This window comes from Homo sapiens, chromosome 7 (genome assembly GCF_000001405.40).
Source record: "Homo sapiens chromosome 7, GRCh38.p14 Primary Assembly".
Taxonomy (NCBI): domain Eukaryota; kingdom Metazoa; phylum Chordata; class Mammalia; order Primates; family Hominidae; genus Homo; species Homo sapiens.
This window is the reverse complement of record NC_000007.14, coordinates 84,632,883-84,656,671: the sequence shown is the minus strand read 5'-3', so window position 1 is coordinate 84,656,671 and position 23,789 is coordinate 84,632,883. Positions and strand designations below refer to the sequence as shown.

The 23,789-nt window shown below is 33.8% G+C and overlaps 2 annotated features.

Moving 5' to 3' along the window:
• Window positions 18,200-18,973: an enhancer, noted in NCBI's record as "NANOG-H3K27ac-H3K4me1 hESC enhancer chr7:84267015-84267788 (GRCh37/hg19 assembly coordinates)". NCBI's record gives its function as "activates a minimal SCP1, AML or CMV promoter by ChIP-STARR-seq in naive H9 embryonic stem cells {active_cell/tissue: H9 hESC(naive)}" and the evidence as "EXISTENCE:reporter gene assay evidence [ECO:0000049][PMID:30033119]".
• Window positions 18,974-19,749: an enhancer, noted in NCBI's record as "H3K27ac-H3K4me1 hESC enhancer chr7:84266239-84267014 (GRCh37/hg19 assembly coordinates)". NCBI's record gives its function as "activates a minimal SCP1, AML or CMV promoter by ChIP-STARR-seq in naive H9 embryonic stem cells {active_cell/tissue: H9 hESC(naive)}" and the evidence as "EXISTENCE:reporter gene assay evidence [ECO:0000049][PMID:30033119]".

Here is a 23,789-nt window from a genome sequence, read left to right as displayed (position 1 = left end):
TAACAACAACTCTCTTAAGTGGTACTATTATAAACCTTAACCTCAGCTTTATCTAGATAATACAAGTAATAAATAATGGCACTTAAGTTTGTTCTCAGCCAGAATTACTCCAGGATAAACGTTCTTAAGCAACATACTCTACTGGGTATCTTTGTATAATTTAAATGCATTTGACACTAGCATATTTTGCACTGTTAAATGGAATTTACACAAAATCATAGCAGAAACTGTTCCTGCCTTATTCAGTTATTATAATTTACTGACTTTGAAATCCAGAGCCTTGGCTGAAACTGACCAGGGATGCCATAGCATCTAGACAACTGAAGTCAGCAACTTCCCCTTGCAACTTTATCAGTTAAAACAAAAAGGATTAAATTAAAAGTGATCAAAACCATACCCTTTAATAACTTGTCTGTAATTAAATCGGCAGTTGAAATATGTATTTTTGTATGTCTATTTGTATTATCGATCATTAATTTACAGCTCTAACTAGATGACTTTTTAATGGCTGTAATTCCAATACTCTTATAATCAACACGAAGAAATTGGTAAAAATCCTGACAATGTAGTATAAAGGAAATATCTCTGCTTCCATTCCTGTCAAAATTCTCCTTAAGTAGTCTAGTACATATGCCACATTCATCCCATTTTGTGACCTATGTTGATTCACGCAGTTGTTATTAATGTTGCAAAGTAAACATTTTCATCTTTTCGCGCATGTGACAGGTAGTATTCTACTTTTTGGCGTCCTGTGATTGGGTAGGGACATGTAACAAGTTCAGGCTGATGAAATATGAGTAAAACTGATACGTGTATCACTTCCCAGTGAAGCTTTAAGAACCATCTTCTGAATTGCCACACTCTCCTTCTGCCACAGTTCCAGAGAATAGCTTCTTCCCTGGGGAAGACAATGATGATTCAGAACTAAAAATGCAGCCAACTGAGGCAGGGATTGGCGAAAGGAAGAGGTGTGTCATGGTGTGAACCAGAAACAAACCTTTGTAGTTTTGAGTGTTTGAAATTAAGGGGTTGTTTGTTACCATAGTATAACTTAGCATAGAGTGGCTGATATCCATATATTACATAGATATATGATAGGTCACATCAGATTTTTTGAAACACAAATTGCAGAAACTCTTGAGTTTCAATGTTTTATGTATTCCCTAAACTTCACTGATAACATCTCTCTCATTATTCCCACAGTTTTTAATTTCAAGAAATCTAATGAGATTAACCTTTGTATTTCAAACTGCCCAAAATTGACCACTAAGCTATTGAGGAATGCCTGTCCATCTCTGTGGTAGTGGTGGGAAGGTATTTGTAATACATTGTAAATGCTCTTTCTATTCATTAAAAATATTTTAATTATTTTTCTCAATGGCAGCAAACTGCTCAATGAAGTCTACATGTCCTATAAGATATTAATATTGTACTTCATAGAAGAATAAATTTATGAGCATATTATATAGATTAAGCAAAGTTACATATATTTATAATTCACAAAATATAACAAGAGAATGTGAAGTCTCTATTTCTCCCAGAATGTGATTTCTCCCAGTCTCTCTCTCTTTCACTCTATTTCCTTCTCTAACTTTAATAGGTATTTCTCTGTAATTCTTTATATAACACTCTGACAAATATTCTCTCTAGCTATAATGGCTTAAGGTCTTTTGTTTGTTGCTCTAGTTTCTTAATCATTTTGTGCATACTTTTAAGTAGGCTACATTATAATTGCAATTGGGCTTTGCATTTGCCTAGATATAGTTTGTACTCTTGCAGCAACTAGTGCCTTATTTTGCATGCAATAGCTATTGATAGGCATTTCTTGACATTTCTCCAATTCTGTTATTTGTTCATTAGCACTTTGAGAAGGAGCTGAACAGCCCCTGCTTTTCACTCTTAAGATTGAATCTTACATTTTCAGAATGTGTATTATACTAGTAAGGTGCTTTATGTCCACAGGGTGCAAACATAAGGAATAATTATATTATATAGAAAATTATATTAACTAGGATGATAACTATTGCAGTAAATGGTTCCCTAAATCCAGTAAGTTAACTCAATGAAAAGTGTGTTCTCTTTCAAGCAGCAATCCCATACTGCTCTTCCGGGTGGCTGGGGACAGAGTGTTCTGTTTCATGCTGTCATATGGAGTTCCAGTTTTTTACAGTCTTCCACACATGACTTCCAAGCTTTCCTGAGTGTTCACATTCAGCAGGCAGAAGGGAAAGAACATGGATGATTGATTGCATAGGGGAGATGTTTGGAACTAGACCCTTAAATGTAATATATTACTACTGCTGCCCTCAGTCAGGAACTCAGTCACATGACTATAACCAATTGCAATGACAAGCAGGAAATGTAATACAGAAAGAAGAGGAAATTAACCAATCTCTGCCATGTATTTAAGTAGATATAATTGCTTTGATTATGGCTGTGTTTCATCAAATCTAGAATTAACTTCTCTTAAAACCAGCTTTGGAATCAAGATTTTAACAGATGATGTTACAGGCTTTCATTATGGTTTAATTGGAACTTTCTTGTATTTCTTTTCAGTATATCAAAATCAAATAGATTTTACAATATATAATGTCATATTGTTCAATAGAATGTGTAATATCTCAGTAATTCCCAAGAAAAATTAAGTTTTTAAGTAATTATTGCAAATACTTTATAAAGGTGCTATTAAATCTAAAAATTAAAAAGTTAATCATGCTAAATGATATTGTAAGGGTTGTTTGTTTACACTTTTTCTACTGTTTCTCAGAGGACATGTCTATTAACAATAAGTGCTAAAAAGCAGTATGTTACTATATTGAAAATTTAAATTTAAAGAATAAAGTACTGAACTACTCTAAGGGGTCATGCAGTCATATATATTCATAGAAGTGTCATATTAGATTGAGCTATGTTTCTCAATAAATACCTTTAGAATCTATTAAAAATCACACAAACAACATGATGGGAAGAGGGATAATTAACATTTTTTACAAATGGTCTTGTTAAAAAGTGGAGTTATATTTAAAACCTTACATCTAACAATATTAGCTGCACATCTTGGAAGACTCCAAAACAGTGTGGAAGCCAGGGCACTATGTGTCCAAAAAGTTAATGCCTTTTAGCCTATTTCCCATTTCCCTCTTGAGCTTATGGTTTTAGTGTTCACTCTTACTTACTTAGCCATTTTTGAAAAGCACTTGTAGAAGATATAAATAAGAGTGTAGATATGTTTGTTGACATTAAATATTTCTAATTATTATCATGAATAGTGGAATATATTTAATGAGGTAGAAAAATAATATTCTACGTTATTTCCTTAATAACTTTTTCTAACTTCCAACATCATAGACTCTATTTGTTATTGTAATCCTCCGAAGTTTTCTTTCTTCATTCATTTAAGAAAGAAACACTTTTTTTTTGTTTTTTTTTTTCGAGAAGGAGTCTCACTCTGTCACCCAGGCTGGAGTGCATTGGCACAATCTCGGCTCACTGCAAGCTCCGCCTCCCGGGTTCACTCCATTCTCCTGCCTCAGCCTCCCGAGTAGCTGGGACTACAGGCGCCCGCCACCACACCTGGCTACTTTTTGTATTTTTAGTAGAGACGGGGTTCCACCTTGTTAGCCAGGATGGTCTCGATTTCCTGACCTCGCTGTCTGCTCACCTCGGACTCCCCAAGTGCTGGGATTACAGGCCTGAGCCACTGCACCCAGCCTAGAAAGAAACACATTTTTAATTAATGTTTAAGGTACTTTTCTCCAGTGTCCTTAAAACACATTATTTTATCCTAAATCACTACATCTTCTGTTATCTATTCTAATTTATGTATAAATTCTTAAAAGAATACAAGCAGCATTATTTACCTGCAAGTTTTATGCAACAAAAAGAATGCTAACTTTGGACATTATTAAAGATATAAAGAATTTACATTAGTTTATATTTTTATTAAACCCGTGAAAAAGACCATCTAAATTTCAAGTTGAAATAAATATAGCTGATTGAAACTGTAGAAAAAAATTTCTTATTTCTGTGTTGTCCCTTCCTTTGTTATATATAAACACTTCTTATCTTTATTTTTAAAGCATCTTTTTATGAGCAGTTATTACATAATGTATTCATCTTTAATATATTTATCCACAAAAATATAAAGTCACAAAATTACAAGACAACTTTTCTCATGTGTGTTTAAAAAATTTTCAGCCTTAATGTGAATGAAATTCAGATTTTTTTTCTAACATTCAATCCATCTTGAAAAATGGATGCTTAAATATAAGTTTATTTACCTTTTTCCCTCATTGGTAGTCTAGATTTCAGAGCCTACTCTTTTACAGAATATAAACCAGAGGCTAAATTTCAGTCCTCTAGGTTCTAACCTAGAGCTAGCTACCCTCTAACTTAGCACTTTTCTGGGTTCTAACCTAGACCTAGCAAACCTCTAACTTAGCACTTTTCACTATTGAAATTTCCCTTTTTGTTTTCAGTCTTCTTCCCTAGACTCTAAATTCGTTGAAAGCGTTTCTGATGCCTGGCATAAAATAGTCACTCAAATGTTTATTGAACTGAATATAAGCTAAGTGAGTAGAATTGTAATAAGGACGTTGAATGAGCTGTTTGAGGACACATCACATGCTTTTGTTTATGGGTGACAACTTTTGTTTTAGAAACTGAGCAAAAATCTGGTCTGTTAAATATGCTGTACATGGACTGATTTCATTTAACACATAATTCTTCATATTGTAGAAAAAAACTATTTTAGACTTTAAAATATCTCAGCCTGAGCAGGTTGTGATCTTTTGTACTTGTTTATTAATAACAGAGGGCTCCAGGGCTCAGACAAAATTTGAAGAATTGATGTTCCAGTCTCAAAAGATATTGAGGGGGTTGTCAAACTTACCTGCAACCATACCAGCCAAAATTAAATCTCTGTTTTTACACACAGTATGCCATCATAGATACAGCAGACATTCTTGGCATTTCTTAGTATGATTAATTCAAGCTATTACTATGGAAGCACTGACAAAAATTTTAAATATCATAAGCATCACTCAATAGCAACACTAATAACTTTAGCTCAAATTTACCAACTATAAACCTGATTCTTCAAAAAGTTATTTCCAATATTCTCTACAGCATACCATTTTCATATTTTTGAGCTACTTACTGTAAATAGTTATTTGGGTAGTTGATGAAATTTAACCGTTCTACTGAGCCATCCATGTTTAAGATCATAATTAGAGTCAAAAAGAAGCGGTATATACAATTACTATATTTGGATGAATTATTCAAAGGTATTTTCTTTAGATTTTTCTGTCTTAAAGATGATTTCTTAAAACTTAACTTGTTTCCATAGTACAAATGAACATGTATTTCCATGTGCTTCTAGATGATAGCAGCCAAAAAATAGAATTACTGAATGAAATAGTACATATTTTTAAAAGTAGTCTTAAACTGGTTCTCAGTTTAAGCAATTTCATCAAAGTCAATACTGCTAATACTTTCTGGTGACAATAAAATATTTAACATATATATCTTCAATGTGCTCAGCAGAAATCAGACTAAGCAGAATAGTAAATAAAATTATCCTCCATGACTTAATAAATTAATATGTAGAATAATCCTCCATGACATAAGTATCTTCAGTGGGATTTGGAGAGCTCGAAGAGCAAGTATAAGTCCATATATGGGATCTGTTATTTTTTAGCTACTCAGGTTGGATCTCCCATGTGTGTTTTGGCACTCTTTGTCAGAAGTCATGTTACAGATTTCAGTTCCAGCTCATCTTTACTTATTATCATTAGACACGTCAGCCTTATAAAAAATGACCTCATGTGTACCACGTAACACAAGAGAGGACTGTATTAGAGAGGCTCAAAAGCTACCACCTCGAAGAGCTGGTTTCAATTTCTACTCATCTTTTTTCTTGCTACATCCTTTCATTAAATCTTCTCTGAGCTTTTTGTCTTACATACTCAGTATATGGTCTATTTCTAGTTTTCACGGATCATGTGGAAGGATGTATGTTATGTAGTGAAAAAATGTCCTTTGTTTTTTGATTGACTGGCTGTCGTTACTTAACTCCTTTTTTTCTGCTGTCATTTATGCAAAAGGAAGCAAGGAAAGCTTTATACTTGAGTTAAATATATAGAATATTTCACCGCTTTCATATTTCTCTTTTAAAAAAATTTAATATAAAAAAACCTTTAATTTTTTTGAGATGGGATCTTGCTCTGTCTTCCATGCTAGAGTGCATTGGCACAATCATAGCTCACTGCAGGCTTGAACTCCTGTGCTCTAGCAATCCTTCCGCCTCAGCCTCCGGACTAGCTGGGACTATAGGCACATGTCACCACACCAAGCTAATATTTTGTTGTTATTACACAGTATCTCACTGTATTACCCAGGCTGGTCTCAAACTCCTGACTTCAAGTGATGTTCCTGCCTTGGCCTCCCAAAGTGCTAGGATTACTGGTATAGGCCACCATGCCCAGCCCATATTCTCTTCTTATGATTAATTTTTATTTTACTTTCAGTTTAAAAAATAGAGGTTCAATACAACATTTTTCATTTTTTCTTGTGTCGTGAGTGAAAATCTTTTCTTGTTAAACCACACAAGCCCAAGATTTAGGATATAAACGAAACTCCAGATTTGGTGGAGCAGCTGTACACAGTTAAGCTGCTTGATCTGACACCTCACCAAATCTGGAGGCTCCTTTCCCTCTCCTAAATCATGGCATTTCTCTGTTTGTTATAGTTGACTTCTTCTTCTTCCTTGAATAACTCTTTTTACTTTTCTTCTGGAACAATGTATTTCCTGATTTTTCTTCTATTCAGTCAGCCAATTATCATTTTGTTTTCAGAGTTTCTCCTCATCTTCCTGATTTTCAGCGCTTGAATGTACTAGATTTTAGTTCATAATTATCTTTTCTCTGTACATTCACTCCTTAATGATCTCATCTACTCTCATGGCCTTAAATGCATTTACAGGCTGATGGCTCCAAATTTATATCTCTAGCCCAGGCCTCTCTCCTGATCTCTAAACTCATGCAACTATTTGTCTACTGGATATCTCTCCTTGGGTAGTTAGCATTAATTAATTCAGCAGGAGAAAATGTAGACACCTATTCTTTGTACCTGAAGCTTTTCCTCCAAGAGCCTTCTCCAGCTCCATCCACCCCAGTTGCTCAGGCCAAAGCCCTCGCTAACGTCTTTAACTCCTTTTTCTTACTCCTATATCTAATCCATTAGCAAATTCTACATGCCTTCATAATCTATTCTCTAGATATAAGCTAGATAAAGCGTCTGGCACATAGTAGGTAATCAATAAATATTTGTAGATGAGAAGAATGACAAAATATACCAAATCTCACTCTATTCACTCTTTCTTTCATTATCAATTTAGTTAAATTTCTGCATTTTAGCCTCCAACCTTGTCTTGCTGGTGCCAGCTATGCTTTCAAAATTTTGTTCTTGAAAGAGCTGTTATGGTGATAATTTGGAAGGAACCTGTTATTCCATACAAAAGTTTTCAGAAACTACTCATTTCAGAATCAATATCAAACAACTTACAATGAACAAAATGTCATACACAGCCTAGTCTTCTTTAACTTCTGTGACTCTTCTATACTATACTTTGCAGTCAAGCTGTTCTAGCTCCTGGATACATCAGTGTCATGTTCCCAACTCTGTATCTTTGCTCTTTGGTGTTACTTCTTCCAGTAATGCTGTTTGTCCAATATAAGCACAGCTTTCTGCTTCCTTAGTTCCATTGTTCTTTGTTTAAATGAGCTATTTTCAGAAGGGATTTCTATGGTATATTACAGATTAAAAGCATGCATTCCCCTATCCCACCTGCACAAGTGCTGTGTACTTACCTACACTCCCCGCTAGCTCCCTTGACTTTTAGCCTTTGCCATGTGAATTGCCAATGGATGTTATATAGATTGTTTCTGCTTGAAAAAAAATTGTAATATTAAATCTTCCCTTTTGCACCTCTGCTATCCAGATGAGAAGAATATATCCAGGCTGATCCATCAATCCCAGAAGGAGAACAAGAAACACATGGAGCAGAGCTAAGTTACCCAGCCTAGCTCAGCCTAGATCAGCATCCTGTAACAGGCCCCCAGCCTTGTGGGCTAAATAAACATGTGTTGTTGTATGTTACTGTGTTGTTTTTACTTAGCACTCTGTGGCAATAGCTGATATACCTTCTGTGATCGCCCTGTTTAAAATTTAATGTGCACAAGATATAAAACCCAAAATGCACAGATGTGTTAGTATCACATCATCTATAAGATTCTCTTTAATTTACTGACCATTTTAAAATTTAGTACATTACTCTTCTTTTTTGGCAAAAAGGCACCCGACTTGCATGGTTTTCTGTGAGAACTAAGCTTTTGCATGACTTGTTCATGCCTTTGTATCCAATCAGAGCAACACTGACAGCAGATGCTTTGGATATAATTTCCCATTCATCTTAGTTTTTTCTTCACAACATTTGATTCTTGCAGTTGCTGGAATGATTTCCAGAATGAGATTCATTGTATAAGCTTTGAGTCAGGAATTTTAGCATTTTAGAATAAACAAATGCACACAGATTGTTCCTAAAGAACAGGCTTAGGGCCCAGAAATTACAGTACTCCAATCATTCTCTTGCCATTTTTAGTTACTTCATAGCTTGGTAAAATAAGCTGTTTCCAGGCATTCCATGCATTTTTTTGTCCCTAGTTCACCAGCCCTTTTCCACAGTTCTCTTGGGTATTCTCTTTAGAACTTAATATTTAAGCATGGATATAAAAACAATTTGCAACATGAGATTTAGCTGTGTGTGCAAAATTTTATTTATTTATTTTTTTACATATGGTTGAGAGAGTTCATAGCTTTTTATTGATAGCCTGTTATTGCCCTAAGTGAATCATTCAGGAAGTTCAGATCTTATATTTCACTCATGTGGGTCTCTAATTTTTACTCCTTGTATCCTGAGTTATTTAAATTAAGAAGCTCATATAGTAGTTCCAACAGCGTGCTATAATTTTTGTTGACTCAAAAAAACCCTTTATTCTAAGAAATATTCCACTACTGCCTCAAGTCTTTTAGGAAAGAGGTAAGGTATTAATATATGCACAATTTTTTTTTATTAAGAAAGACATTTCTTATGAATATTTAAGCCTATTTAAATTAGTGATTGACAAATCTAACCAATTCATTTTAATCTTCACTGTTGTATTCTAAGAAAATTAAAATAGGATTGCTTTAATTTATAGTAAAAATATATAGGAAATTTCCCATATAGATATATATTGCAGACAATGCTGAATGATCTGTTACACAGTATCATTCAGGCAATAGCTGATTAAGTGTATGTTAGATGAAAACACAGAAAAACAGAAAAAAATATGAAATACTTTATGCAAAATAATCATTATAGCTTGTTCCAAATTAACAACAAAATCAAGTTTTATATTAAAACATATATTATCATTCCTTGGGCAACCTAAAAGAGGAATTTTAATTTTGAAAAAACAAAATTTTTGTTACCTTAAAGGGTAATTTTTGTTTTGGAAAAACAAAAAATTTCCTATGTCTATGGAAACTCTTAGCTACTTTATTTGGTCAATATTAAAATTTCATTGGGTTCTTATTATTTATGGACATATTAATTAATTTTCATGTCATTCAGGAAGAAACATTCTGTTAACATTACATTCTACTTGTTTTCTGCCAGTTCTTTTCAATTCTTGGTAAGTTTTAAATTTTAATATAAAAATTTTATTGTGTGCTTATTATTTATGAATGTATTAATCTATTTTTGTGACATCCACGAACAAACATTCTACTAACATTCTGTTCCACTTGTTTTCTGCCAGTTCATTTCAACTCTTGATATGTTTATCTTCCCTTTACAAAGCACACCAATAGAAAAATGTGCTTTGTGCTGAATACTAAATTGAAAATGAATAATACTCCTCACCCACCTTTGATTTTACAGGTATTGTCTTTAGTGAAAGGCAACGTGCCGCTAATAAATTATCACATCAGCAGCTTTACTGCAATGCACCAAAGAGCAGAATAGCTCAACAGCCGATATTTCTGTCCCACAAACTACTGTGCCTACTAACTAGGTTTTTTATGTAAACCTCAATTTGGAGACCTAAGATATACGCACAGAAGATACACACACATTGCTCTTTCTGTCCTATACTCTTTTTTTTATCTCTGCGGTGGGAGTGTGTGTTTAAACATACATTATATTTATTAAAATCTAATTAATCTTGGTTGAACATAAAAAAATGCATTAGATTTTGCAATTTTGAGATGTTTGGTATTTTTACTTCCTAATTACTAAGAAAACCATTAGACCAAAAACACATGTTAAAATACAGTGGACAAATGCTCAGTTAATGATAATGTTAGAATATCAATTAATGAGCTGATCAGATGTTTTTGATAACACAAGAGAGCTAAGAGGCAGCTGCTCAATCACCTTCTGTTTTCATACCCAGGGACATATTTTGAACTTTTGTATCCCTAATTTTTCTCCCTGTACAATAACATAGCAGTAGCTTATAGGGTTATAGCAATGATTAAGTAGAATAATAAATAAAAACACTAAGAGTAATATAAAGAACATAATAAGTGTTAAATGAATTTGAACTAAACTAGATAATTGGCTTTACACTTGGGTGAACAAGAATTAGTGATAAGCCTAGGAATGTCTACTTGTAGAAAATATTTCTAAAGAATAAAATTTCATCTCCCTCTACATCAGGAACAACATATCCCTCAAAATACTTGAGTATGAGGTACAGAGCTATATATTTCCATTAATAGAGCTTTTACAATATTGACATTTATGGTTAAGGTAGTTTAATGGAACAAAACAATACTTTTTTCCAGTTACTTATGGATTCCCATACTTCAGAAGAGTAACAGAAAGGGAACAAAAATGATATGAGAACACATTATTTAATGTTTAGGTTAAAAAAAAAGTCTTAACTACTACAATACTATAATACAATTTCTCAAAGGTGTGCAATTAGATATTACATCATATAGAATGAGGTAGATTATATTGCAGTAGCAGGTAACCCCACATATCAGAGGTTGAATTCAAACTGCTTACTCTGTTATATGACCAAGGAACTGCAGGGGGAAGAAGGTCTAAAGGCTCATTGTAATCATTCAGGCATGCACAGTGATAGAAACTCCATCTTGGTACATGCTTCCATAATCATTAAAGCAGGCAAAGAGAAGGTAACAATTTATACATATGTTCCTAAAACTTCCTGGAAGTTAAAATTGTTGCTTATGCTAACGTTTTATTGGATAAGGTCACATTGTCAGGGTGATTTCAAAGAGGGTGATTCAGAATGATCAGACTCAATAAATCGAGCTAATATAATATTAACCAAATTTATGGCAGTTGATGCATAAGACAGGTTAGTTCATTAGTTAATAACAACTATTTATCAGGCTTACTGACAAGCACATTCTACCTTGGTAGGCAAAATACATATAATACCAAATAATAATTAGAGAACTGCTTGTTGAACATGCAATCAAAATATGGTGGTCAATAATGCAATATGTGTGTTATATGTGTGTATGCGTGTGTGTATATAAAATATGCGTTATATGTTACAATAGCCAGATGTGTCTATCAACGTTTCAGAAGTATATCTATGAGACAGACTGTATAATTAAATCTATAGGTAAAGGTGTCCTGTTCATTAAACAGGATTAATATTCAACACTGCAATATAGATAATGGGTTGACCAACTTCAGTTAAATTTCTTTCTTTAATCATAATTCATCTTTAACTATAGTAATAATTTTCTGAGGTAATATCTGGTTACCTACAATTAATGTTTACATAATTTTTCTGTCACTTATGTCTTATGTTTTTTTCACGTCTAAAGATATTACTGTTACTACCACTGTAATTGTTACTATTTACTAAATGCCTGCAATGTGTTAGGAGCTTTACATGTTTTATATCACTAACTACTTTTAGCAATCTAGTGAAATAAGCATTATTATTGTTATCATCATTTTAGAGAGGAAGGAATTAAGATTTATAAATATTAATTATTTTTCCCCTTATTACCCTAAGGAGAATTTGGCAAAGCAGCAATTCAAATAAAGATCAGTGTGGTGCCCAAAATCATTCCTATATTTCACTTGCTCAATTCCATTTTAACAATTCTGAATTTTATTAAGGAGTGTCTTAAGTTTACATTGTTGTCATAATCCATGCCTCCCTTTCCCTCCTCAGTGATCAACAGTCAAAACGACAAATAACTGAGATAACGAGGTTCTAGTCAATTTTAAGGAAGAGCTAAAAGTTGAAGAGTTAAGATTTTTAGAATTCTTTCTTCATTCCTTTAGTTTTTACTTTTGCAGTACGTTTTCTTCATCTAAGTATCATTCCATCATTGAAGGTATCCCTTATTGTCCAGCAGAAATTCTAATTTTCATTGAGCATCTCAAGTTCACACAAATCAAAGTTTTTCAACTGATGGAACTTTAGCTGTAGGGACCACCTCTAGCTTTTAAAGGAGAAATTCAAATTCCTTTTAATCTTATCTAAACCTACTCACTATGAAAAAAGACATCTTATCTTCTAAACAGCTGGAGAAGTAAAAAGTAAAGTCATGGTCCCCATCTTTTACTTTTATCCTATTTTAGAAAAGCCACAGCTCAATCAGGGAATAAAGAACATCCATATGCATATATTAGCATATATTAGCATGCTATAGTATATGGATGATGATGGCCAAAAGTAAAAGAGAAAATCCATTTCTTCAAACATTCTAGGGTTTTTATTTTCTGAACAGAATTAGTGACTTTTTCAGTTGATCATTTAATTAGCATTTACTAACAGTCTCTGTGTTGTTAAATAACATATGATGCAGTTTTTAGAACTGTATCCTCATAATCATAATCTCTACAATTTCATGCATGATTAGTCATTTAAATAAATGGTAGTGGCACTCAATCTTCCCTCAAACTGAAATCACAAGATTTTTTGATGTGAAAACATATGTCTCCTCAGTACAGCTAAAGGAATAGTTCTGTCCACATTAATGTACACCATCATACATGGTGCAGGATCAAAGTTTAGATACAAAAGTTTAGATACAAAAGGTAAATAATTGTTCTGGAGAAGATGCCGGTTGATAGGTAATGTCAAATATATGTGGTCTATATGCTCAGAAACAGATATTTTGGTATATGGTTGGAATCCATTCACAAGAAATTGCAAATGTTTTAGAGCCATCGAAATGCCCGAGGTTGAACTTACATTTAACAGTGAATCTCCAAAAGAAAAGGGTGGATAGTAAGGGCGATAATTTCTTTTCCCAGCTGAGTTCTGTATGTTTGAATGGCTAAACTATAACTGCAGTAAAGCGGCATAGCCTGTATATTCTGTAGAGCAACTACTGCTTTATAAACAGATGGTACCCACAAAATATGAAAAAGTAATCTGATCTGCTAATTATAAAAATTTGAACTGCTTAAGCATCTAATCTCTTCATAATTCTAAAATTAATATAAATATCTCATCAAATATAAAGATTATTTTTATAGTTACATAAAGGTAGTGTTGACTATTACCAGCTGTCTTATTGAGAACTCTGTAAAATTGCTAATAGTCTTACACATATCATATTTGTTCAATAGTTATTCTATTAACAGAAAATTCTGGCATTTTAAAAAGGCAAAATCAAAATTGCAATTTTGTTTGCATTTCCTTGTACCACTTTTTATTGAGTGGCTTTATTTCTGTTTAATGTTAATAACAGATGTGACTTTCACTTCTCCCATCATAGTGGGAATTTCCTTTCATGTGTCAGGTTGTTGTCAGGTTTTCATCACTGTTATCTCCTTCAGTATTCCCCGCAGATGGGTACTACCGACTGTATTCGCTGAAAAGCATTCAATCTGATTGTTTTAATATAGACAATTTTTTAACATTTTAATTTTAAAGTGAATTATGTTTTCAGATTTGCAGTATGCCTGCTGGGTGAGTTAAGGTGTATCAGGAAATTTTTGTGTTTCAGGATCCAGTGCTGTAAAATAGTCAGTGGTATTGATTTGTTCACTGGAAAATGTGATACATCTGTGTAAAATATTATTCAATTGATTTGTTATGTGAAAAGGTGCATCTCTCCATGAAAAACTCTTCCTTAGGGAAATGAAAGATTCCATGGTTGTGAGATATTTTCCTAGTAGTATCTTAAACACAACTTTAAGTGTGTGCATTCTCTTGTTCCCATTACATTCTGTGAATGTTTCTTAAATATTGTGATTATTAAAATATTTATTGTTTTGTTTAATAAGAAGAAAATAAGAAATTAAAACAAGATATGGTTTCAATTTTCAAGACAGTCATAAGAGAAGATGATAAAACGTGATGCAGATAGGAAATGATTATAAAAAGTGTAAATTGTTTTGTTTATTGGATTGATTCTAGGGCAATGTACAGTATGCCTCATTAAAACTCATTTAAAGTGATTGATAGAATTATATAGTGTTATGATGATATAGGTAAAATGGCTTAGCTATTAAGGGTAGAATCATATATTGAAGCCAGGATTAGAGTTGTATACTTGTCATAAACTGGGTATGGAGCTTCTTAGGAGACAAAACCAAGAAGGGAGTATAATAGGCATTAAAGTAAACGTTAAAAGAGGTAAAATAGTGATATAACACAAATACAAAATGAATATGTATTAGGGAATTTTTTTCAACTTATATTACAAGAGGATATTAGTAAGATATTAAAATTAGCTCAATGAGCTAAAGGTCATTTGAGAAATATATATATATATATTTATACACACACACATAAAAATAGAAATTGATATGATTAAATATAATTTAATATTGTAAGTCTCTTGTGTTAGAGACAAAACTGTTTAATAACCTATGGATATTAAACTTTTGATATTATCTGTGCTACCAGGCAGAAATAATTTAATTTCTACTGAACAAAAATTAGCAAATTTTACACAATATGCAATCTTTAATTTTGAACAAAGATTTGAACTAAATACATTTCCCTAGAAAAATCCCTTAGTGTCTTCAATACTACTTAGGATTGAAATAATATATGGATTATGATTGGACTTACTTTTCAGCTTTGTTAACTTTTTGTAATATAAGTTATAATAACTAACATTTATTGAGTCCTAACCATGTGTCTGGCACTTGATTAATTTATTTACAGATGTAGATTTACTTACTGTTAGTTTGTTATTTACAAGTGTTAATTTACTTACTCTTTAAAATTACCTTAATTATCTTATTATAATTATTCACCTTCAGATTTTTTTCTGATGAAGAAGTTGAGGCAGAGAAAGTTTCAATAACTTCTAAAATTACAGAGTAGTAAGTGTTAAAGCAGGGATTCAGGTGCAGACAGTCTGCTTTTAGAGCCAGGCCCCTTAATCCCTATGATTTACTGCCAACTGCACAAAAAGAATAGTTTTGTTCTTATTTTGTTTTGTTTTGTGTTTGTTTGTTTTAACCTATCGTGTAGGGGGAAAAGGACACAGTGGATGATAGTTGATAATCAATTTTCGCATCTTTCCATGTGGAATTATATATAACTGTTTTGCACAAGCAATACTTGGTGTAAAATACAGGTATACCACCCAAGTATAGTTTAATAAAATCAATCTTTAGGGGATGAAAACAATGTTGATTAAGCATACAGTTCTCCAAAGTCTTAGTTCAGAAATTGTAAACCCACATGCCTGTTAGAGGCCAGGCAGGTTAGATAATGGGTCTTATGGGCTAAGAGGATAGGAGAAAACTGTAGAAAACTGGAGGGCCATTCTCAGCTTAATCTTGGCATTGTCTTGTAGAAATGTGATTGTCAGGCAGCCGGATTTTGTTTTTCAGAGAAGCCTTAATTTTAATGTGAAATCTTCCACTTTTATGCACACACACATACATACATATACACATGGGAATGAAAAGAACTCATAAGAAAACTTTTCTTAGGCTTATGAATAGACTGCATATTCTTTATGCAAACTTCCACAAATGTTTTATCTTACAAATATGCTTTTGATAAGAATTTGGTATCCAAAATATGGGCTATATGCTTTAGTAAAAACTTAGAGAATAAATACTATGTTGCAGATCATTCTTGATCTGCTGGTAAAGTTGATAGATTCTTAAGTAAATTAAGGTATTAAAACAAAACTCAGATTAAAACAAAACAAAACAAGCAAAACAAAAAAGGCAGTCAAAGGAGCACTTTACAAGGTATTACCAAGATCTTCCTCCAAATAAAGATCAAGAATTTTATCAAAAATGAACAAATAAATAATAGAGACTTTTAAATCTTCTCACAGCATTTGGCTGAATTAATGATATTCTAATAATTGCAGAGAGCTTATTATTAATATCTCAACATGCATAAAATGCATTGCACACATAAAATGCCTAATGTTTAGCAAATCAACTTTTAATATAAATAAACTTCAACATGTACTACCAGATAGTAAGAACAAAAACAACAAAACGGCAAACTTCACCTGCCACATTGTATTGTTTAATATAAACCACGTTGAAAACTTATACCAATAAAAGTTAGTTGTAGTTAAGACTTTTCTTTTGGAGAATATACATTTACATATATCAACCAAATATACCAATATTCTTTAAAATCGTTTATTTATAAAATGGGGATAACAATACATATTTCATTGGATTTGTGAGAATTAAATGACATTTAATATGTAAAGTAAGAGAAGTAAGGGACATTTAGTAGGTACTAAATTAAGGTATACTATTTTCCTGCTCCACTGCTAACCACTCACTAGACCCCAACAAACATGCCTCATCAGATGTGGAATCAGAAGCAACATTTATTTTACAGTGATATGTCTCGTTTGTTCTTTTAATTTCTTATCTACTCTCTAACCCACTAGCTTACTTGATGTCTGATTTCTTTGAATTTGATTATTTGTGTGCTTTGATTTCTAGTACCTATAGACTCCTTTAATCCTCACTGCTCTTATTTCATCTTGAATCCAATTTCTCAATACAACCTTCATAAATATCAGGTAATAATAATGTTTCAATAAGTTAACAAGAAAGAATTTTTTTAAATACATGAACATATTAATGTATTGAGCACATTGCTAACTGAAACATGAGAGAAGATTGAAACACATATGTAGCACTCATTGCCTTCAAGAATCACAGTGTTAGGATATAAACCTGGAAATATTTTAGGGGAGACTATAAACTTTACCACTTTGAAGGTAGCTGTATTTAAAAACAAATATATGTACATAGATGAACAAAACTCAAGTAAATAGCAATAACGGTTGCATATGGTAAGATACTAAATATTAATAACATAGCACATATTATGATGTGACAGGAGTGCAAGAGAAGAAAGACTAAACCAGAGTAGAGCATGAGAAAGGGATTTGTGGATGAAAGTTTGACTTAAGACATAAAAGTAAATTTTTGACTATGAAGAAAAGGTGAAATGTACCAAGTGATAAAGAACACTGAACAACAAACCAAGATAAGAATAAATATGGTAACTGCACTAAAAGTGGGTGATAATTTTGACTGATGAATAGCATTCTTTTATTCATTGAGGCAGTTAACAAATATTTAATGCATGTGCACCATGTGAGACTTTTTTCTAAGGTCTAGATGCACATTAGGAAAAAGAAATAAACTTCCTTTCTATTATAAATGAAAAGTAAGAAAAGGCAATTAGTGAGAAATATTTGTGGATATACAACACTAAGGCTTTAAGTAAGCCTGTTTTTTTATTTTTTTTTCAAGCTCCTCTGCACATGCTGTTTGTTCCCTCTGTTTAGAATGCTAGCCTTCTTATCTTTACTGCCTACCTTGCTAGTTTATTGCTACCATTTTTAAAACCTCCCTATGATAAGCCTTCTGTGGCATCCCAAATTCAGTTAGATTCTCCTGTCTTTTCAACACTATTTGATTGTTCTTTCTTAAGACATTTCACATTTCTTATTTTACATAGTGTATGTGAATATTTTTATATTTTTCTCTTACTGAACTGTGGGTTTTGTGAGGGTGAGAACAATGTCTGCTTTGCTTCCTGATGCCTACTAATGTAAGATATCATTACATTAATCTTAATGCATTTTAAAAGCTCAGATGTTTTATAATGGGTAAAAAGTAGTTATCATAAGCTCTTTAATTAAAAACACTCAACTATTCTAGGCCCAGAAAATTATATTTTAGGCCAAAAGTAATTGTAATTATGTTAGTAAAACCACTCCTGATAATTTTTCAGAATTTATGATTAATGAGAAATAAGCAGAGAAGTAAATATCTTAATTTTCAAACAGAGGAAATGAGTAAAGCTCAAAACTACATAGCTCACCAAGGAATTTTTGACTGGTTTCTTAGCACATGACACAGTTAGGCTTAGGAATGTTGAGAATGCTGGCAGTCAGCATGAATTTACTAGAAGCTAGTCATGTCAAACAAGTGTCATTTCCTTTTTTTATTTTTAACTGTATTATTAGATTCCTAGATCAAATGATTGCTGAAGACATAGGCCATAGTAGTTGTCAAAAATGTCTCCTTGTACTTTATGAATAAGGGAAATAAATGCTTCTAGGTGATAGAAGAACTGAATGGTTAGATAATCTTAAGAATATATATGAGTGGATTCCAAACTAAATGAAATGAAAGAAGTTCTTTAAGAAAACAGATATAACTCCTGTAATTCTAGCCACAAGAGAGCCCTTTGTTCCTCTCAGGTCCTGAGACTAACATAGAAAGCCATCTAGAAACCATGCAGTGGTGTTGCTCCAGGAATGTGGGGGTCACACCGTGTCTCACATACTTCAAGCCCTAAGCAGATACAGCAAGGTACCATTTTGAGAGCCCAGTCCTCACCAGACTGCATCCAGTCCTGGGGGCCCAGCCCAGCCCTGGAGCCCCACTGATATCCCACACACACATACAGCCTGGAGGCACTGCTGGCTGCTGCAAACAGGCCCAAGATGTGAGCCATTGGCAATGACCTTCCTACCCCCAGGAGCAGAGCCACAGTGCACTGCTGTTGCCCCTCACCCCTACTCGAGTATTCTACTGAGGTCCTAGAGATCACCCTGTTCCTACCTACTACAGCCAACACCCCCACACACCACTAAAGGACCAGAGAACAGGCCTGCTTGGCCCAGCTCCATACTTCATCCTAGTGGCCAAACATGTCATCCAAGGACTTGGGGATCCCCTGCTTTATCCACCACCATTGGCACCAGAGCTCTCCTTCTGGAGGCATGAAGATAGGCCCACTTAACCTGCCACTATCATCACAGCTGGCACCCACCCACCCATTCCATGAGTGGGCATGGGGATTGGCCCATCCAGCTGATTGAGCCACTGTCAAGACCAAAGCAGACCACTTGGGGAGCCAGAGGATTGTTTTGCCACTGCTACTTCCATCATCCACGTCATGCTGAAGTCCAGGGACCCAAGAGCCCACCCACCTGGATGGCCTAGTGCTGCCACTGCTGGCACCCAAGAAAGCCACCTGGAGGCCCAGGAATCTGTCTTCCTGAACATGCCAACCATGGTGCCAGCATATGCCACTTTGGGGCCCAAGGACAAAAATGCTTGTCCTGCTGTTGCCCCCACTGCGGCCCGAGGACTGGCTTACCAGACATGCATGTCCCCATCAAAACTGTACTGTAGCATCCACTAACAAATGCAGCCTAAGCCACTGAAGAAATCACAGACACTAATGACACTGTTTACAACTGAAGAAATCATACGAAGTCTACACTACTACATGCATCTAGAATCAAAGCTAAAGTGGCCTACCCAAACAACATCATAAGTACACCTTCAGGAAAAAGTCCACTAAATGAAAGCAAATTCAAAAAACTGGAAGAAGTGACTGTTATATCAGATGGAAGCATATCATTGTAAATACATAAGAAACATGAAAAACCAAGAAAATATATGACACCTTCAAAGGAAGACAATAATTCTCCAACAATAGATTCCAATGAAAAAAAAATTATAAATCCCAGATAAAAAATTCAAAATAGAGATATTAAATAAGCTCAGAAAGCTCTGAAAAACAATACAAAGGAACCAGAAAAAACTATCCAGGATATGAGTGAGTAATTTACCAAAGATATAGATATCATTAAAAAAGAACCAAACAAAAATTCTGAGACTGAATAATTCATTGAATAAATAAAAAATACATTCAAATGTTTAAACAATAGACTAGATCAAGCAGAAGAAGGAATTTCCAAAGTTGAAGGCAAGTCATATGAAATAATACAGTCAGACAAAAAAAAAATTAAAAAAAAAAAATGAACAAAGCTTTTGTGACATATGGGACACCATAAAGTAATCATGTATGCAAATTTTGGGGGACCAGGTGTGGTGGCTCATGCTTGTAATCCCAGCACTTTGGGAGGCCAAGGCAGGCAGATCACCTGAGGTCAGGAGTTTGAGACCGGCCTGGCCAATGTGGTGAAACTACACAAAATACAAAACTAGCTTGGGCATGGTTGTGCACACCTGTTATCCCAGATACTCAGGAGACTGAGGCAGGAGAATCACTTGAACCCAGGAGGCAAAGGTTGCTGTGAACCGAGATCACACCACTGTACTCCAGCCTGTGTGACAGAATGATGCTCCATTAAAAAAAAAAGGGCATCCAAGAAGGTCATAAGAAAATGAAATGATAAAAAACCTATTTAACAAAATAATAGCTGAAACCTTTTCAAGTCTAGCAAAAGATTTAGACTTCCACAGAAAAGAAGCTCAATGATCCTTAAACAGATATAATGCAAAAATATCTTCTTCATGGCACATTATAGTTAAGCTATCAAAATCAAAGACAAGGACAGATTTCTGAAAATAGCAAGAAAAAAGTGTCTAATCACTTATAAGGCAACCCCCGTCAGACTAACACCAGATTTCTCAGCAGAAAACTTAGAGGTCAGGAGAAAATTGAATGATACATTTAACGTGCTAGGAAAAAAAATTGTTAGTCAGAGATGCTGTACCCAGAAATATTATGCTCATAAAGGAAGAGAAGTTAAGTCTCCCACAGACAAGCAAAAGCTGAGGGAATTCATCACACCTAGACTAGCCCCCAAAAAATTCTTAAGGACATTCTACATTTATAAGTGTAAAAAACAATATCTACCATTATAAAAAGACACAAAAATATAATATGCACTGGTAAAGCAAATACACAAATGAGAAACAAAGTATGCAAATGTTATCTCTACCAAAAATTACCAAATCACAATGGTAAACAATAAGAAAGATAGGAACGAAGGATATACAAAAAAATCAGTAATCAGTTAACAAAATGACAGGCATAAGCCTCACATATCAGTAATAATCTCAAATGTAAACAAATTAAATTTTCCACTTAAAAGATACAGTCCAGCTGGTGGATTTTTTTAAAGTCCCAAATATATGCTGCCTACAAGAAAATCATCTCCCCTAAAAAGATGCATATGGACTGAAAATAATAATACCTAAGAATAAATTTAACCAATGATGTAAAATACCTCTACCAAAAATAATAATAATAATACAAAACTCTGATGAAAGACACTGAAGAGAAAACAAACAAATGGAAAAACATTCCATGTTTATGACTCAGATGAATTAACATAGTTACAATGACCATACTACCCAAAGCAATCTATACATTCAGTGCAGTCTATAGATTTAGTACAATCTCTATCAAAATATCAATGTCATTTTTCACAAAAATAGAAAAAATAATCTTAAAATTCACATAAAATCCAAAAAGAGCCCAAATAGCCAAAGCAGTCCTAGGCATAAAGAACAAATCTGAAGCCATCACACTAACTGACCTCAAAATATATTACAAGGTTATAGTAACCAAAATGGCATGGTATTGCTATAAAAACAGACACAGGGACCAATAGAACAGAATAGAAAACTCAGACATAAATCCATGTATTTACACCAACTGCTTTTTGACAAAAGTGCCAAGAACATGCATCAGGGAATGACCTCTTCAATAAATGATGCTGGGGAAATTGGATATTCATATGCAGAAGAATGAAACTGGATGCCTATCACTAAGCAAATAAAAAACCTATTTCAATATGGATTAAAGGCTTAAATAAAATACCTGTAACTATAAAAATATTAGAAAAAAATGTAGGGGAACACTTCAGTATATTTGCCTAAGCTAACACATCAAAAGCATAGACAACAAAGACAAAAATATAAAAATGTGACTATATTAAACTTAAAAGCTTTTGTGCAGCAAAGAAAACAATCAACAGAGTGAAGAGATGACTCGCAGAATGGCAGAAAATATTTTCAAACTATCTGACATGGAACTAATATCCAGAATATATAAGGAACTCAAACAATTCAACAGAAAAAAAAAAATCCCATGAAAAATTGGGCAAAGGACATGAATAGACATTTTCCAAAAGAAGACATACAAATGGCCAAGTATATAAAAAAAGTTCAGTGTCACTAATCATCATGGAAATGCAAATCAAAACCACTATGATAGATTATCTTACCCTAGTTAGAATGGCCATTATTAATTGACCAAAAGAAAAAAAATCAGATGCTGGTAAAAAATGCAGACAAAGGGGAACTCTTATATATTGTTGGTGAGAATGTAAATTAGTGCAGCTACTACAGAAAACAGTATAAAGATTTCTCAAAAAAGCTAAAAATGGAACTGCCATATGCTCCAGCAATCCTGCTGCTGGGTATTTATCCAGAGGATAAAAAGGTATTATATAAAAAAAGATACCTGCCTTTCTTTGTTTATTGTGGTGCTATTCACAATAGCAAAGATAGGAAGTCAACCTAAGTGTCCATCAACAGACAAATGAATAAAGATAATGTGGCATATATACACAGTGGAATGCAATTTGGCCATAAAAAAGAATGAAATCATGTCACTTACAGCAGCATGGTTGCTGGAGGTCATTAAGTGAAATTAGACCAGCACAAAAAGACAAATATTCCACATTCTCAATCATCGTATGTGTGAGCCAAAAAGTTGGCATAATGATAGTTACTAGAGGCTGGGAAGGGTATGTGGGTTGAGATGGGCAAGATGAAGTGAGGTTGATTAATGTATACAAACATACAGTTAGGTAGAAGAAATAAGATCTAATGTTGAATAGCAGAGTGACTATAGTTAACAACAATGTATTGGATATTTAAAAATATCTAGGAGAGAGGACTTGAAGTGTTCCCAACTGTATTAGTTCGTTTTCATGTTGCTGATAAAGACATACATGAGACTGGGCAATTTACAAGAGAGGTTTAACGGATTTACAGTTCCACGTGGCTGGAGAGGCCTCACAATCATGGTGTAAGGCAAGGGGAAGCAAGTCACTTCTTACGTGGATGGCAGCAGGCAAAGAGAGAGAGCTTGTATAGGGAAACTCCCATTTATAAAACCATCAGATCTCATGAGACTTATTCACTATCATGAGAACATCATGAGAAAGACTCACCCCCATGATTCAATTACCTCCCACCGGGTTCCTCTCACAACACCTGAGAATTATGGGAGTGACAAGATGAGATTTGGGTGGGGACAGAGAGCCAAGCCAGATTATTCCACACCTGGCCCCTCCCAAATCTCATTTCTTCACATTTCAAAGCCAATCAATCAAGCCTTCCCAGCAGTCCCCCAAAGTCTCAACTCATTTCAGCATTAACTCAAAAGTCCACAGTCCCAAGTCTCATCTGAGAAAAGGCGAGTCCCTTCTGCCTATGAGCC